The sequence below is a fragment of the Homo sapiens genome, chromosome 1, assembly GCF_000001405.40.
Source record: "Homo sapiens chromosome 1, GRCh38.p14 Primary Assembly".
NCBI classification, from domain to species: domain Eukaryota; kingdom Metazoa; phylum Chordata; class Mammalia; order Primates; family Hominidae; genus Homo; species Homo sapiens.
This window is the reverse complement of record NC_000001.11, coordinates 201,562,517-201,575,185: the sequence shown is the minus strand read 5'-3', so window position 1 is coordinate 201,575,185 and position 12,669 is coordinate 201,562,517. Positions and strand designations below refer to the sequence as shown.

Sequence of the window (12,669 nt, the reverse complement as noted above, 5' to 3'; positions counted from 1 at the left end):
CAGGAAAAGGGAAGCACTGAGAGTCCCAGGGGTTAGAAACACATCAGAACAAAGAAAAGTTAAGTCACTTTCAGCCATTCCACTCTGCATCAGGACTTCAAAGGAGAAAGCACCATCTAGGTTGAAGATGGGCCCTTTGTGTCAGCTGCTGGAAAGTCTTTGGCTTTTCCAGGCAAGGATTAGACAATGGCCTGGGCACTTTGCAGCTTTCCTCTCCCCATGTTAGAGAGTGTGGGGCCTCTGGCACTGTCTGTCTTCCATGCCTCCCTAGCCAAGTGCCATGAGCACCCCAGTCTGAGCAGAGGCCGAGCAATGTGTGGCGGGGGCAACAAGCCCCGCAGCTCTCCTTCCTTCCACCTGAGACACTGAATCTGTCTGTGCAGAGGATAAACAGAGGCAGGGAGGGTCAGGGCTCCCAACGCTGGTGACGGTGGTGGTAGGAGGCGCAATGGTGGCTCCAGCTAGTTTCTGGCAGTGGCAACAGAATTGATCTGAGCAGGCTTCTTGTGCCACGAATTGGGCTGTGGTTCTGGCTACCAGCTTTCCTTGGAAGCTGCAGGTTTCCCAAGCCTGGTTCTGCAGCCTTCCCACTTGCTCAGTAAGCTACTGGGATATCCAACAAGCTCTTTTTCTATGAGGTTGAGCAGGGCTGAGTTCCTTTGCTTGCTCACAGGAAACCTGAGGTCCAGGGTGGGACTGACCACCACAGGCTCTGGGTGGCCCATCCTGACTCCGAGTGCTGGGTTCATGCTGCTCCTTCTGCCTGGTGCTTTCCCACAGCTAACAACCACTCGACCCAAACCCATCATCCTGTAAAGTCCAATTCTCATGCCACCTGCTCCACGGAGCAATCTTGGATCTCTCCAGAGAATGAATGTCTCTCTCGTCAACACTCCCCAGCATTTTACCTGACTCTCTCTGTGGGGATTTAACACTTCCTACTTTAGATTATAGAAAGTTGTGTATTACTTTTCTCCCTTACTACATGGTGAGTGTCCTGAGGCTGAGGTCACTTCTTGTTTTCTCCCTTGTACCCAGCCCAGTCCTCTACACTGAAGAGTGCTCAGTAAATGCTTATAAATAGAACTCTTCAGTTTATTTAGACTCGTTCTTTTTTTTTTTTCTTAGAGACAGGGCTGCACTCTGATGTCCAGGCTAGAGTGCAGTGCCGCCACTATCATAGCTCACTGTAGCCTCAAACTCGTGGGCTCAAGCGATCCTCCCACCTCAACCTCCCAAGTAGCTGGGACTACAGGCACGTGCCACCGTGCCTGGCTAATTTTTAAAATTGTTTTAGAGATGGGACCTTTCTATGTTGCCCAGGTTGGGACTAGGCATTCTTAACTTGGGGTCCAGGCACCCGCTGAGCTGAATGTAATGCATTTTTTGGACACAATGCCCACAGCTTTCATCAGATTCCCAAAAAGGGTCCATGACCCCAAACCAATTAGTAATAGATAATATTTGTTGAGTGTTTACTAGGTACCTGGCACCATTTTATATATTTTTCATGTATTAGCTCTCTTAATCATCACAAGATCCCTGGGAGATAGGTACAGCAGGCAGGCCTGGAGCAGAAGACAATTTGGGCCTCCCTCTGTCATGATGGAGGGTCCTGACTGCAAAACAGGAGGCAGGGAGGGGGTGTGTGACAGACATGTAGGGGAGGGGACAAAGCTCTCTGTCAGGAAGAACTGGTGCAGAGGCAGGGCAGGGCAGGGGCTCCCTGAGGGTTTACCTGGGGTCACATGGCTCCACTTCAAAAAGATTTGTTTTTATTCCCCTCCCTTCCTTCCTTCCTTTCTTCTTTCCCCTTGAAAAAGTGTGAATACGGTACAGGTGTGCACACACACACACACGCATACACACACACATATCAGGAGATGAAACATTATCTGGACTTAGCAGCCACGTTCTGTGAAATCAGCACTCCAGGGTCAGCTCCCTGTGGCCTGCCTCGACTTGATGTCCTGCTGTCTGTACATCCTTTGAATCAGTCAGGGTGTCTGGCCTACATGGTAAATTCCTCAGGCACAGGCCATGTGCCTATGCATAATTCAGTCTGAGCTTGATCAACACAAATGAACATTGTCAGGCCTTTAAACAAAGTTTGATTATTTACTTTTGAAGGAGGGCTCTTCCATGCAACCTTTCCAGTGATGACACTAGTTTCAGATGGAGCTGACCTTGGGCTGCTGGGCTCAGGCTTCTAGAAGGTGAGATGGGCAGGGGCAAGATGGAGTAGGAAGGAGCAGGGTTGGACAGCATGGGAGGAGATGGCTATGGGGACAGAAAGAAAAGTAATTCCCAAGAAGAGCACAGCTGGAAACCACCCCCTACCCCAGGGCATCTACTTGAGCAATGAGGATTAATCTCTGTTGTCAACACCTGCACAGTTTAGAGCAGGCCACTTAGCTGCCTCCTTTGAGTCTTGTGATGACTTGCTGGTAAGGTATAAGACAGTCATTCCTATCCCCATTTCATTGATGGTGATAAAGGCTAAAAGAAATTAGAATCTGGCCAGGCGCGGTGGCTCACGCCTGTAATCCCAGCACTTTGGGAGGCTGAGGCGGGTGGATCATGAGGTCAGGAGTTTGAGACCAGCCTGGCCAATATGGTGAAACCCCCGTCTCTCCTAAAAATACAAAAATTAGCCGGGCATGGTGGTGCGTGCCTGTAGTCCCAGCTACTCGGGAGGCTGAGGCAGAAGAATTGCTTGAACCGGGGAGGTGGAGGTTGCAGTGAGCCAAGATTGCACCACTGCACTCCAGCCTGGGTGACAGAGCAAGACTCTGTCTCAAAAAAAAAAAAAAAAGAAAGAAAGAAAGAAAAGAAATTAGAATCCAAGTCTCCTGACTCCAAATCTTGAACTTGGCCTACCACACAATGCTGCTCTCAGGGAACTATGGAAGCCAGCTTAGGATCCAGGGTTCTGTAGCCTGGAGATGCTGTGGCCCCTGCAGAAGCCCACCATGCTTGTCACATGCCTCAGCCTGGAGGACCAAAAACCCCGCTGCCCAGTTTCCTCGCTATCCCATGATGAATCCCATAACTTCTCCCTTAATCTGTGATCACATCCTCATCTCTGAGGAACCTGAGTAAAACACTCTCTCATATAGGACCTTTTGTCTGGAAGGTGCTCAGTGACTGTGAGTGGAATGAGCGATCAGATGAGTGAATGACTGAGTGAGTGAAGTGTTAATAATTCCTTATGGGTGCATTAGGCACATTAGGTATTCCCCTTTCCGCTATTAATAGATGGTTATACCAGAGTATCATTAACATATGTGGTACTTTTACCCACTCAAATTGTTTGTGCCCTTCCCCTGTGATAAACAATTTTGCCAAGAACATTCTTGCAGCTAGATCTTTGTACACATTGATGATCATTTACTTCAGTTAAATTCCTATGTAATCCCACTTTAATAATGGGATAAACAGAACCAAATTAGGAAGGGAAATTTGCTGCAAAAGAAAAAAAGGTCATAATAAGCAATTCTAGGCAAAACAGAACGCCTAGCCAGGCTTCCAGTTCTTGACTGTGGATAATTGAAGGGGCCCTTGCAGTTCTGCTGGGCACCCATAGCCAGAGACCTAGGGACAGCCCCAGAGTGCTCACTCTGTGGTCCCCTTTGTCTGTGATCTCATCATGGTGGGGGACTGGTTTCCCAGCTGTGTGACAAACTCCCTGACAGCAGGGACTGCATTCCCCAGTGCCTGGAGCCTGGCAGTACCTGGAACAAACATGGAAGGTGCTCAATATATATCTTCTACCCTGGCCTGAAGGCGTATTAAGCCATGACTATGTAGGAAAGGGAGCTGTCATTTATTCACTGGGCACCAATTATGTGTCACGCACTGTTCTAGGAACCCTGCACACATGATCACATCCATTATCTCATGTCATTCTCACAGCAACTCCCAGCACTACCTCCCCTTTCTGATGAAAATGAGACTCAGAGAGGTCAGTCTGACTTCTCCTTCATCACACCATGATGGCAATTGTGCTTAGTCCCACTGGCTAGCCCAGAGATCCAGGAGCCAGGGCCTGCGAGTCCACACAGCTCACAGTGGATGCTGACTACTCTGCTCTTTCAAAATCAATGGCCACCAGACCTGGCGGGGCTGATACAGCCCTTGGCAGGGACAAAAGCAATCACAGGACACCTCGACCCTGGCAGGGGTGGATGCGGACACAGCGGAAATGGGTGCTGAGATTCGATGAAGCTCAGGAAATGAGATAGCTTTGTTGCCTTAGCAATGAGCGACCAGGGTCAGCGGCAGAGCAGAGGCAGCTGCAGGGCTAATGGTAGAAAATAGGCCATGTTGTCAGGCCTGAGGTTCCAGAGATGGAGAATGTGTGGAGGCAGCCTTCTTCCTAGACCTGGACTTCTGGGAACAGGCCTCCTCCATTGAGAGAATAGATCCCAAGTGAGGAAGACTCAATGTGCTTGGTGCCTCTTCTGAGCAGAAAAGGGAGACTGCCTGCTGGGCTTCCCCCATACCCTGGCCCTGGCCCTGGTCGTAGCCCTCAGCCAGCTCAGGAAGACCCTTCAGTATAGGCCAGGCTGTAACAGGGAGAAAAAGCTTTTTTTTCTCACTGGTGGGACACCAGGCAAGCATCTCCTTGGCCTCTCTGGTTGTTTCACCACACCCAGCCCTGAGGACCTATTATCCTCTATTCTCGCATAAGGACAGGTACTCCCAGGGCAGGCCTGCTTGCTGGCTGGCTGGAGAGCCCTTTCCCATCTGCAGACCTGTACTTCTCATTGGCTGGGCCTGCAGGGCAAGAGGCAAGGGTTGGGGGTGGTGACCAGATGCCCCTGGAACTAGAGAGGAACAGAATTCAGGGCTGTCTTGCCAAGCATTCTCCTGACGGCTGTAAGGAGGCGCCTGACCCTGGCAGTTGCTTGATCTTTGGGTCTGCTGAGTCTGCCCTAGAAGGGAAGGAAGAGCAGCCCTGGGCACAGCCTACATGTGGGCCATGGGCTCCAACCAGGTGGGGAGAGAGTCTGCTTCCTTCCACCTGCTCTGATTTTTTTGTTTGGTGTTTTTCAGGTCAGCCTAATCAGGGCACACAAGAGGCCAGAGAAGCGCTCACCCCGGATGACTATAGTGCCTCTTCTTAATCATAATAAATAAAATGAAAATGGTATTTTACAGTTAAAATATTTCCACATCCGTCATCTCATTTGATCCTCACAATAACCCCAGGAGCTGGACAGGGCAGGTGTTGTCTTTCTCATTATTTCACAAGTAAAACAGCAACTGAGAAGTAAATTGACTTGTCAACGATCACACACTAGTCAGAAGCCTAAGAGCTGGATGTCTGCTTCCAGAGCCTTTGTCCTTCCCACTCCTCTGTGGCCTTAGAAGAAGGTGTCCAGGTGAGCAAAGGGAGAGAACTGGACCAGCGGATACTGCGAGGGGCTTCCTCATGAGGGGGTTACTAACTGCTTCCTCCTGAGCTCCTGCAGTCCCATGATCACAGGGCCCCTCTCTGTGTGCAGCCCCAGCAAAGTGATGCAGAGAGATGGGCACTCCCAGAATCACTGTACCTTCCCTAGATCATTTTTTAAAGGCAGACATACCCTTGACAACCTGGAGCATCTTATATGATGTCAGCTGGGAAGGATGGCAGAAAGATGGCTTTGAGAACCTCTAAAGTGAAGAGATGAAGGATGCAAGGATCAGCCTCAGGGTCCATGACACCTTTCCAGTGTCCCTGGTGCTGGGTAAACCAGTGTGCTTTGACATCCCTGGAGTCATTTGTTTCAAGAGCTGAAGATGATGTTAATTTCGGACATTAAAATCATTCATAAATCGAAGCTAGCTCTGGGCTGCCCTGGCATCAGGGGAGTTCATGCTATAGCCGTGAACTGCTGCAGCTGCTGGTTGCCTACCAGGAGGTGGCCAGGCTGACTTGCACTGGAGTGAAGCTGCCACAGGATCCAGCCCAAGATCAGCCCAGACCTTCATGGGCCTGAGCACCTCTGGAGGGGGGTGGCTTTTCACACCTGGATGAGACTTTGGTCAGCTCTGTACTGTCCTCAGGGCTGCTGGTGGTTCTGAACAGAAGTTCTAGGGGCTGGGGGAGTGGCCTGGGTTTGCCCAGAGCAGGAAGGAAACACGCTTCTCCCTGGGTGTCCTGCTAACAGGAAGCAGCCGGGAGGAGTGGGGAGCTGAGAAGGCCCCACCTTGCACAGAGGTTCAGGCTCCTGGACCACACAGTCTGACCTTCCCAGTCTGACCTTCCTCCCTAGGACCTGCCATTCAAGCCCACTGACCTAGAGGACCCCCGCAAACTTCTGCGCATGCATGAGGCACATCTGAACTTTTAGACTAAACAGACACCCTGGGAAAGAAGAGGGAGTCGGTGAGCAGCCTGAAGACCGAGAGACCCTTGCAATGGAGCCCTCTTTCCCGAGCACATACTGTGGGACAGGCGCTGTGCAAACACGCATTGTTTATATATTATATTATATTATGTTATTGAATCCTTACAACAACTTCATGAGGTAGGAGTGCTTAACATTTTCATTTTACAGATGAGGAAACTGAGGCCCAAGGAGGTAAAACAACACGCCTAATTGCCACAGTCGGTATCAAACTCACGTCTGCCTGGGGGCACTAGGCAGCCAGCATGTTTGGGGTCATGTGTGTACATGCAGCCACCCCTCACAGGAACTGCAGTGGGCCCAGCTGTGGCCAGACATACCACCACCCAAAACTCAGAGGGAACAGATACAGCACCCAACAAGAATTCAGGACGCAGCCCCGGGAAGCGGTGATGGCAGTGGCAATGGAGTGCTGACACTCCATTAACAAATAGGCTTTGGGTGTTACAGGAAACAGACAAGCCAGGGTTCCAGGATTCTGGGATTGGCAACCCAGATCTACCCACAGGAAACTGCCAGCTAGGGACAAGAAGAGCTGCCCACAAGACTAAAACTGGGCAAGGGGCTTGCTCTGATGCCAGTCCATCACCAAGCTGGAGGAGCAGTGGGAAGTGCTCCACAGCTGCCCCCCACTGCCTTTTCACCCCAGCCCACAGCCTCCTTTTATTGTCAGCCCAGGATGCCCGCACTCCAATTACTCCTTAGGTACACAGCCCAGGCAGCCTATGCTTACGTGGTCCTAGGCACTCACAGGTGGTTTATGTACTCAATTTGCATGGCAGGGTCTTGGCGAAGGGGAGATGATGGCACACAGCTGGACACACAGCTGGTTAAAGCACCCATGAGGCTCTGTCTCCTAGGGTTGATCTTCAATTGGGTCAGTTACCCTTGCTCCGTGCCACATAGAGAAAGGACATTCTCGATGTGCAGGCAGGGGTCTCACAAATATAATACACACAAGGCTTTGGGGTTTTGGGTACCGACACAACTGGGGAGGCAGGTACCTATGGCTTGGGAGAAAGCCATAGTCTCTCATGGGTAGACATGTCTGTGCTGTTGGAGAGACAGTCTCCACCTTCCTCCACAAAGCAGCGGCAGGTAGACCCTGGCCACACTGGATTGGAACAGAGACCCCAGGGCACTGTGAGTTCCATCTCCCTGTGCCTCTGACAGCCTTGGGCACATCAATATTGTCTACACACACAGTAGAGTCTCATTACTGATTCAGTTAGACCATATGGATCCCTGAGATGCCTCCCTGAGCAATATTTTCAGTAGAACCAAGAGGGGTGGCTGAGCTCTGGCTCGCTTCGCCTCAGTCCTCCAGCTGGGTGTTGTGCAGACTCCATCCCAGTGCAGCTCTCAAGCCTCTTGAGCACTTCACCCAGTGGCCCAGCTCCTACAGCGCGGGCTCCAACCCCGGTAACTTGACAGGACAAGGCCCCTCTGGCCCAGCCAATGCCCTCGTACCTGTGGACAGCCCCATCAGAAAAAACAACAGAGGCAACCCCCTGAACCAACAGAAGCCTGTTCCCCATGAAGAGGGTGGGGATGTTTGTCCACTCCCCCCTGCAGCTGATGGCTTTCCCATCTTGTCAGGCAGGAAGGGACAGGGTGTGGGGAGGTTGTGATACTGATTTCCAACCGCCACCCAGTTCAAGATCCTAATCAGAGTCCTGTGAAGAGCAGCTGGTCATTTTTTTTGTCTTCCGGTGGCTGGGGATGGGGGGTGGGAGGGGACAAACTATTCCAAAACACCGCCTAAGGAAGTCAGCACCCTGTGGTTTGGGGATTATAAGTGAGGAGGGAATCACAGATAGTTGAGCAAATTACAGTACATACATATGAAATAATATTTAAAATGATGTGTACAGAGATTTGATCGATACAGAAAAACATCTGAGATAATATTAAGCAAAAAAGCAAAAATACAAAATGGTAGGCCGAGTATGATCTCAGGTAGACAAACCTGCCTTTAAAAAAAAAAACAACCTAGAAGGAAATGTTAACAGTGTTTGCTTCTGGAGTGGGGGATTATGGCTACTTCAAGTTTTTCTATTTTTCTATGATAAGCTTTGTTAATCAGGAAGAAAAAAACAACACTAGTTAAAATTTAGGGAGAAAAAGGAACCATGGATGGGGCACCTGTGCCCTCTGTGATCCAACAGCGTCATCCCAAGGGAAGAAGAGTTCTGTGTGTGTTGTGAGTGGGCAGGGAGAGAAAGTACTGACTTCTGATACAGCCCTAGAACTCGAGGGGCTGTGTTCTGGAGTATTCCCGAGGGAGCTCTCGCCTGATGGGAGAGACAAAGCCCCTGCCTGGGGAACACAACCTAAGTGCTGAGGGAGGGGAGAAAGGCCTGTAACGGCTGAGGGTGTGCACCCTGAGCAATATCACTAGGTACTGGTGGAGCCAAGCGGAGAGGGCACCAGGGGTGGGTGACAGTGGTGGGCTCAGGGGGAAGCCTTCCTGGAGGCGGTGAGCCTCGAGCAGGCCTCCAAAGTGAGCTGGGGTGTGGCTGGAGCTGCCGGCATTTCATGGGGGTCTGGGGAGTGGTTCTCAGAGCCTGCAAGAGAAATGCCCAGGAGAAGTGGCCTGCCTCTCTCTGAAAGAGGTGGGCAAGCGTCACCATCAGAATGGTGTATGTGTCGGGAGGAAACTGGGAGATGGGGCAGAGTGTGGGGGAGGCCCCTGGAGCCCACAGGAAGGAGTCTGGAAGTGATGGGGAGAGCTCAGTGCTGGCAGGGAAGGAGGAGCAGCCAGGATCTGAAAGAAAGGACCAGCGCCAGCCTTGACATGGAAGAGGGTGGCTGCATTTCAAATTGGTCTTTTAAAGAAAAGTCTGAGAGGGAGGCGCTGAAGGGCATTTGGGTGTTAATTTTTGGTTCAGTTCAGTGACTAGGGATTGGGGGAATGTCTGGCGCCTCCAGGGATAAAATGCTGGCCTGAAGCCACAAGGCCCCTGGGAGGTCAAATCCACCTCATCATGTGGCCTGGGGTCCCACCTTCAACTGTGTGGGCCTCAGTTTCCCCCAGAGAGGCAGGGGGTGGGTGACAGCCCTTCTATTATCCTCAAGTCTCAGGGGCTCTGCTAATAAAAATGATTGCAAAACGCTTTGCAAATAGCGATACTGCCTCACAACGGAGGCAATTCTTTCCCACAGAGGGGGCTCAGTTCCTGCAGGGATCCACTTGGAACCTCTCTGCCCTCCAAAGAAGGGGCCCTTCTGTTCCCTTGTGATCTCAGTGAATACCACGTCCCTGGGATAGCCATGGGCCGGGCCCCATGCCCGCTGCTGGCAGCCGCCCTCACATAGCACAAGGGAAACTTTGTGTGCCTCCTCGGCCTGGAGTGTGAGCTGCCAAGAGCAGGGTCAGTTTCTCTTCTGATGGCGGAGGAAACCGAGGCACAGGAAGGGAGACTGACAATGAGCCCAGAAGAAACCAGGCCCTGTACTTTCTTATTTAGAAAATTGGCATCAATAACTAGCATTTATAAGGCACCACATGGTTTATGTAGTAATGATGATAGCAGTAGCTAAATATTTAATGAGCACTTAGTATGTGCCAGTCACCTTACATTTATTACCTTTTTTAAAACATATGTTTATTCCTGCCAACAATCCAGTATGATAGGAACCATTAGTGTTCTCTGTGGTAGGCAGAATAACGGACCCCAAAGATGCCCATTCCCTTTTATTCAGAAGTTGCAGTTGTTACCGTAAGTGGCAAAAGGATCTTCACAGATGTGATTAAGATTAAGGACCCTGGAATGGGTAGGGTATCTTGGATTATGCAAATGGGTCCATCTAATCACATGAGTCCTTAAAAGCAGAGAACCTTTCCTAGCTGCAGAGAAGCAGCGAGATGGCAGCATGAGAAGGACCTGACCTGCTGTTGCTGACTTTGAAGATGGAAAAAGGGGCCACACACCAAAGATTGAGGGTGGCCTCCAGGAGCTGGAAAAGGCAAGGAAACAGATTCTCCCCTGGATCCTCCAGGTAGGAACACAGCCCTGCTGACACTTTGGAATTAGCCCAGTGACACCCTGTCAGACTTCTGCTGTACAGAACTGTAAGATAAATCTGTGTTAAGACACTAAGCTTGTGGTCATTTGTTACAGCAGCCTAGAAAACCAATCAATTCCTATTTATTTATTTATTTGAGACAGAGTCTCACTCTGTTGCCCATGCTGGAGTACAGTGGCACAATCTTGGCTCACTGCAACCTCTGCCTCCTGGGTTCAAGGGTTCAAGCAATTTTCTTGCCTCAGCCTCCCAAATAGCTGGGACTACAGGTGTGTGTCACCACACCCAGCTAATTTTTGTATTTTTAGTAGAGACGGGGTTTCGCCATGTTGCCCAGGCTGGTCTCGAACACCTGACCTCAAGTGATCTGCCCGCCTCGGCCTCCCAAAGTGCTGGGATTACAGGCGTGAGCTACCGTGCCTGGCCCCATTCCCCTGTAATAGGTAAGGACGCTAAAGGTGAGAAAAGTTAAAGCCACACTGCTACAAAGTGGAGGAGGTGAGACTGAACTATTCCTTTCACACCTACAAACTGACCATCTACAATGAGCCAGACCCTGTGCCAGGGCCGAGGATGCCTGCCTGCCTGCCTGCCTGCCTTCCTTCCTTCCTTTCTTCCTCCCTCCCTCCCTCCTTCTTTCCTTTCTTCTTTCTTTCTTTTTTGAGACACAGTCTTGCTCTGTCACCCAGGCTGGAGTGCAGTGGTGCTAGCATGGCTCACCGCAGCCTCAACCTCTGGGACTCAAGAGATCTTCCCACTCCAGCCTCCTGAGTAGTTAGGGCTACAGGGACACACTACCATGCCTGGCTAATTTTTTAAATTTCTTGTAGAGACGGGGGTCTTGCTATGTTGCCCAGGCTGATCTCAAACTCTTTGGCTGATGTGATTCTCCTGCCTTGGCCTCACAAAGTGTTGGGATTACAAGTGTGAGCCACCACTTCTGGCCAGGAATTTACGGTCCAAAGAGAATCGGATCCCAACCAGATCTGCCTGCCTGCAAAGCTTCTGCTTGTCAGGGCCACAGCATTCTGCCTTCGCAGGTCTTTCACATGTTACCTCATTCTACCCCTACAATAACACACTGAAATAGGGATCCATGCCCTCATTTTGCTGATGAGAAAACTGAGGCTCAGAGAAGTGGGGTGTTAGCCAAAGGGCCCCCAGGTGGTCATATCAGGCCCAGAACTCAAGCTCCTGGCATCCAATTCCAGATTCTGGGTTCTTCCTTACCTCTGATGTGGAGGGATCCTGCAGGCTTTCCTTGCTGTACCTGTGGCACTTGAAGCAGACATGTGGGGTACCCCACCAAGCAGTGTCTTGGGGATTGTGGTCTCGTATGCTTTTCTCTGGGCCCAGTTCCAACATCTCCCAGAAAGATACATCTCCCAGAAAGATACACCAGAAAAAAAATCGTGTTGGGTCAGTGGCACCTGTGGGACGAGTTAACGCCCCCTCTGCCATCCAGGCTGGGTCCCGGCGTCCGGACGCTCTTCGAGGGGCTGTTTCCTGAGGACAAATGTTTCCTGCTGCCGCGGATGCACAGGGGGAGCGTGACCAGGGGCAGCTAGCCCTGAGTCGCACCACCAGCTTGCTAAGCATGTCTGCACCCTCTGACGATCCGGTCACCTCTTCATTAGTCTGTAGCTTCCCCCACACATCCTCTCTTAGGACTTGACAAAAGGCCAGGATATTTCAATTGGGAGGCTCAGGCCACTCTAAATACTCATAACCACCCACTCTGGCAAAAACTATTTACTATGCGTGTTCCTGTGCATTACCTCACTGATTCACCCACCGTCCTAGGCTGTTATCATCCCTACTTTTCAGAAAAGGAAACTGATGCTCAGACAGATCCCGTGATCCAACAGCATCCAGGATCTGGACTGAGGTATTGGACTTCTGGTGACTCACTGGTTCCCTACTGACAGGCTCTGTAGGCAGGGCCTGCCCCACCCCTCCCTGCCTGCTCCCTTCCATCCACCAGGCCCAGGAGAGAGCACCAACCGCCTAGAAGTACCCTGCAAGCTAAAACAGAAAGAGATGCCACATTCTGCTCTCATACAGTCCTAGAATGACCTGCTTAATATTATATCTTAAGCTCCACTCAGAAGGAAGCTTGGAGCTTTCAGAAAGCAGTTTCAAAAGTGATCAGTCCTGCCGGGATCCTTTCAGACCATACAGTGTCCAAGGCAAAGGACCACTGCCCACCTGGGCCTGGCCCACTAACCCTGTCCTGCCCAGG

The 12,669-nt window shown here is 50.9% G+C and overlaps 1 protein-coding gene across 3 annotated transcripts in view, besides 3 other annotated features; it reads right to left on the bottom strand.

Annotated features, from left to right (window-relative positions):
• NAV1 (neuron navigator 1) overlaps window positions 1–12,669 on the bottom strand; it is a 287,843-nt gene that overhangs the window by 251,784 nt on the left and 23,390 nt on the right. The window lies entirely within an intron of this gene.
• Window positions 7,551–8,337: a transcriptional cis regulatory region, noted in NCBI's record as "candidate enhancer chr1.10615 targeted for multiplex CRISPR interference". NCBI's record gives its function as "positively regulates NAV1 gene expression in K562 cells {active_cell/tissue: K562}" and the evidence as "EXISTENCE:mutant phenotype evidence [ECO:0000015][PMID:30612741]".
• Window positions 8,504–9,003: an enhancer, noted in NCBI's record as "H3K4me1 hESC enhancer chr1:201535311-201535810 (GRCh37/hg19 assembly coordinates)". NCBI's record gives its function as "activates a minimal SCP1, AML or CMV promoter by ChIP-STARR-seq in primed H9 embryonic stem cells {active_cell/tissue: H9 hESC(primed)}" and the evidence as "EXISTENCE:reporter gene assay evidence [ECO:0000049][PMID:30033119]".
• Window positions 9,004–9,505: an enhancer, noted in NCBI's record as "H3K4me1 hESC enhancer chr1:201534809-201535310 (GRCh37/hg19 assembly coordinates)". NCBI's record gives its function as "activates a minimal SCP1, AML or CMV promoter by ChIP-STARR-seq in naive H9 embryonic stem cells {active_cell/tissue: H9 hESC(naive)}" and the evidence as "EXISTENCE:reporter gene assay evidence [ECO:0000049][PMID:30033119]".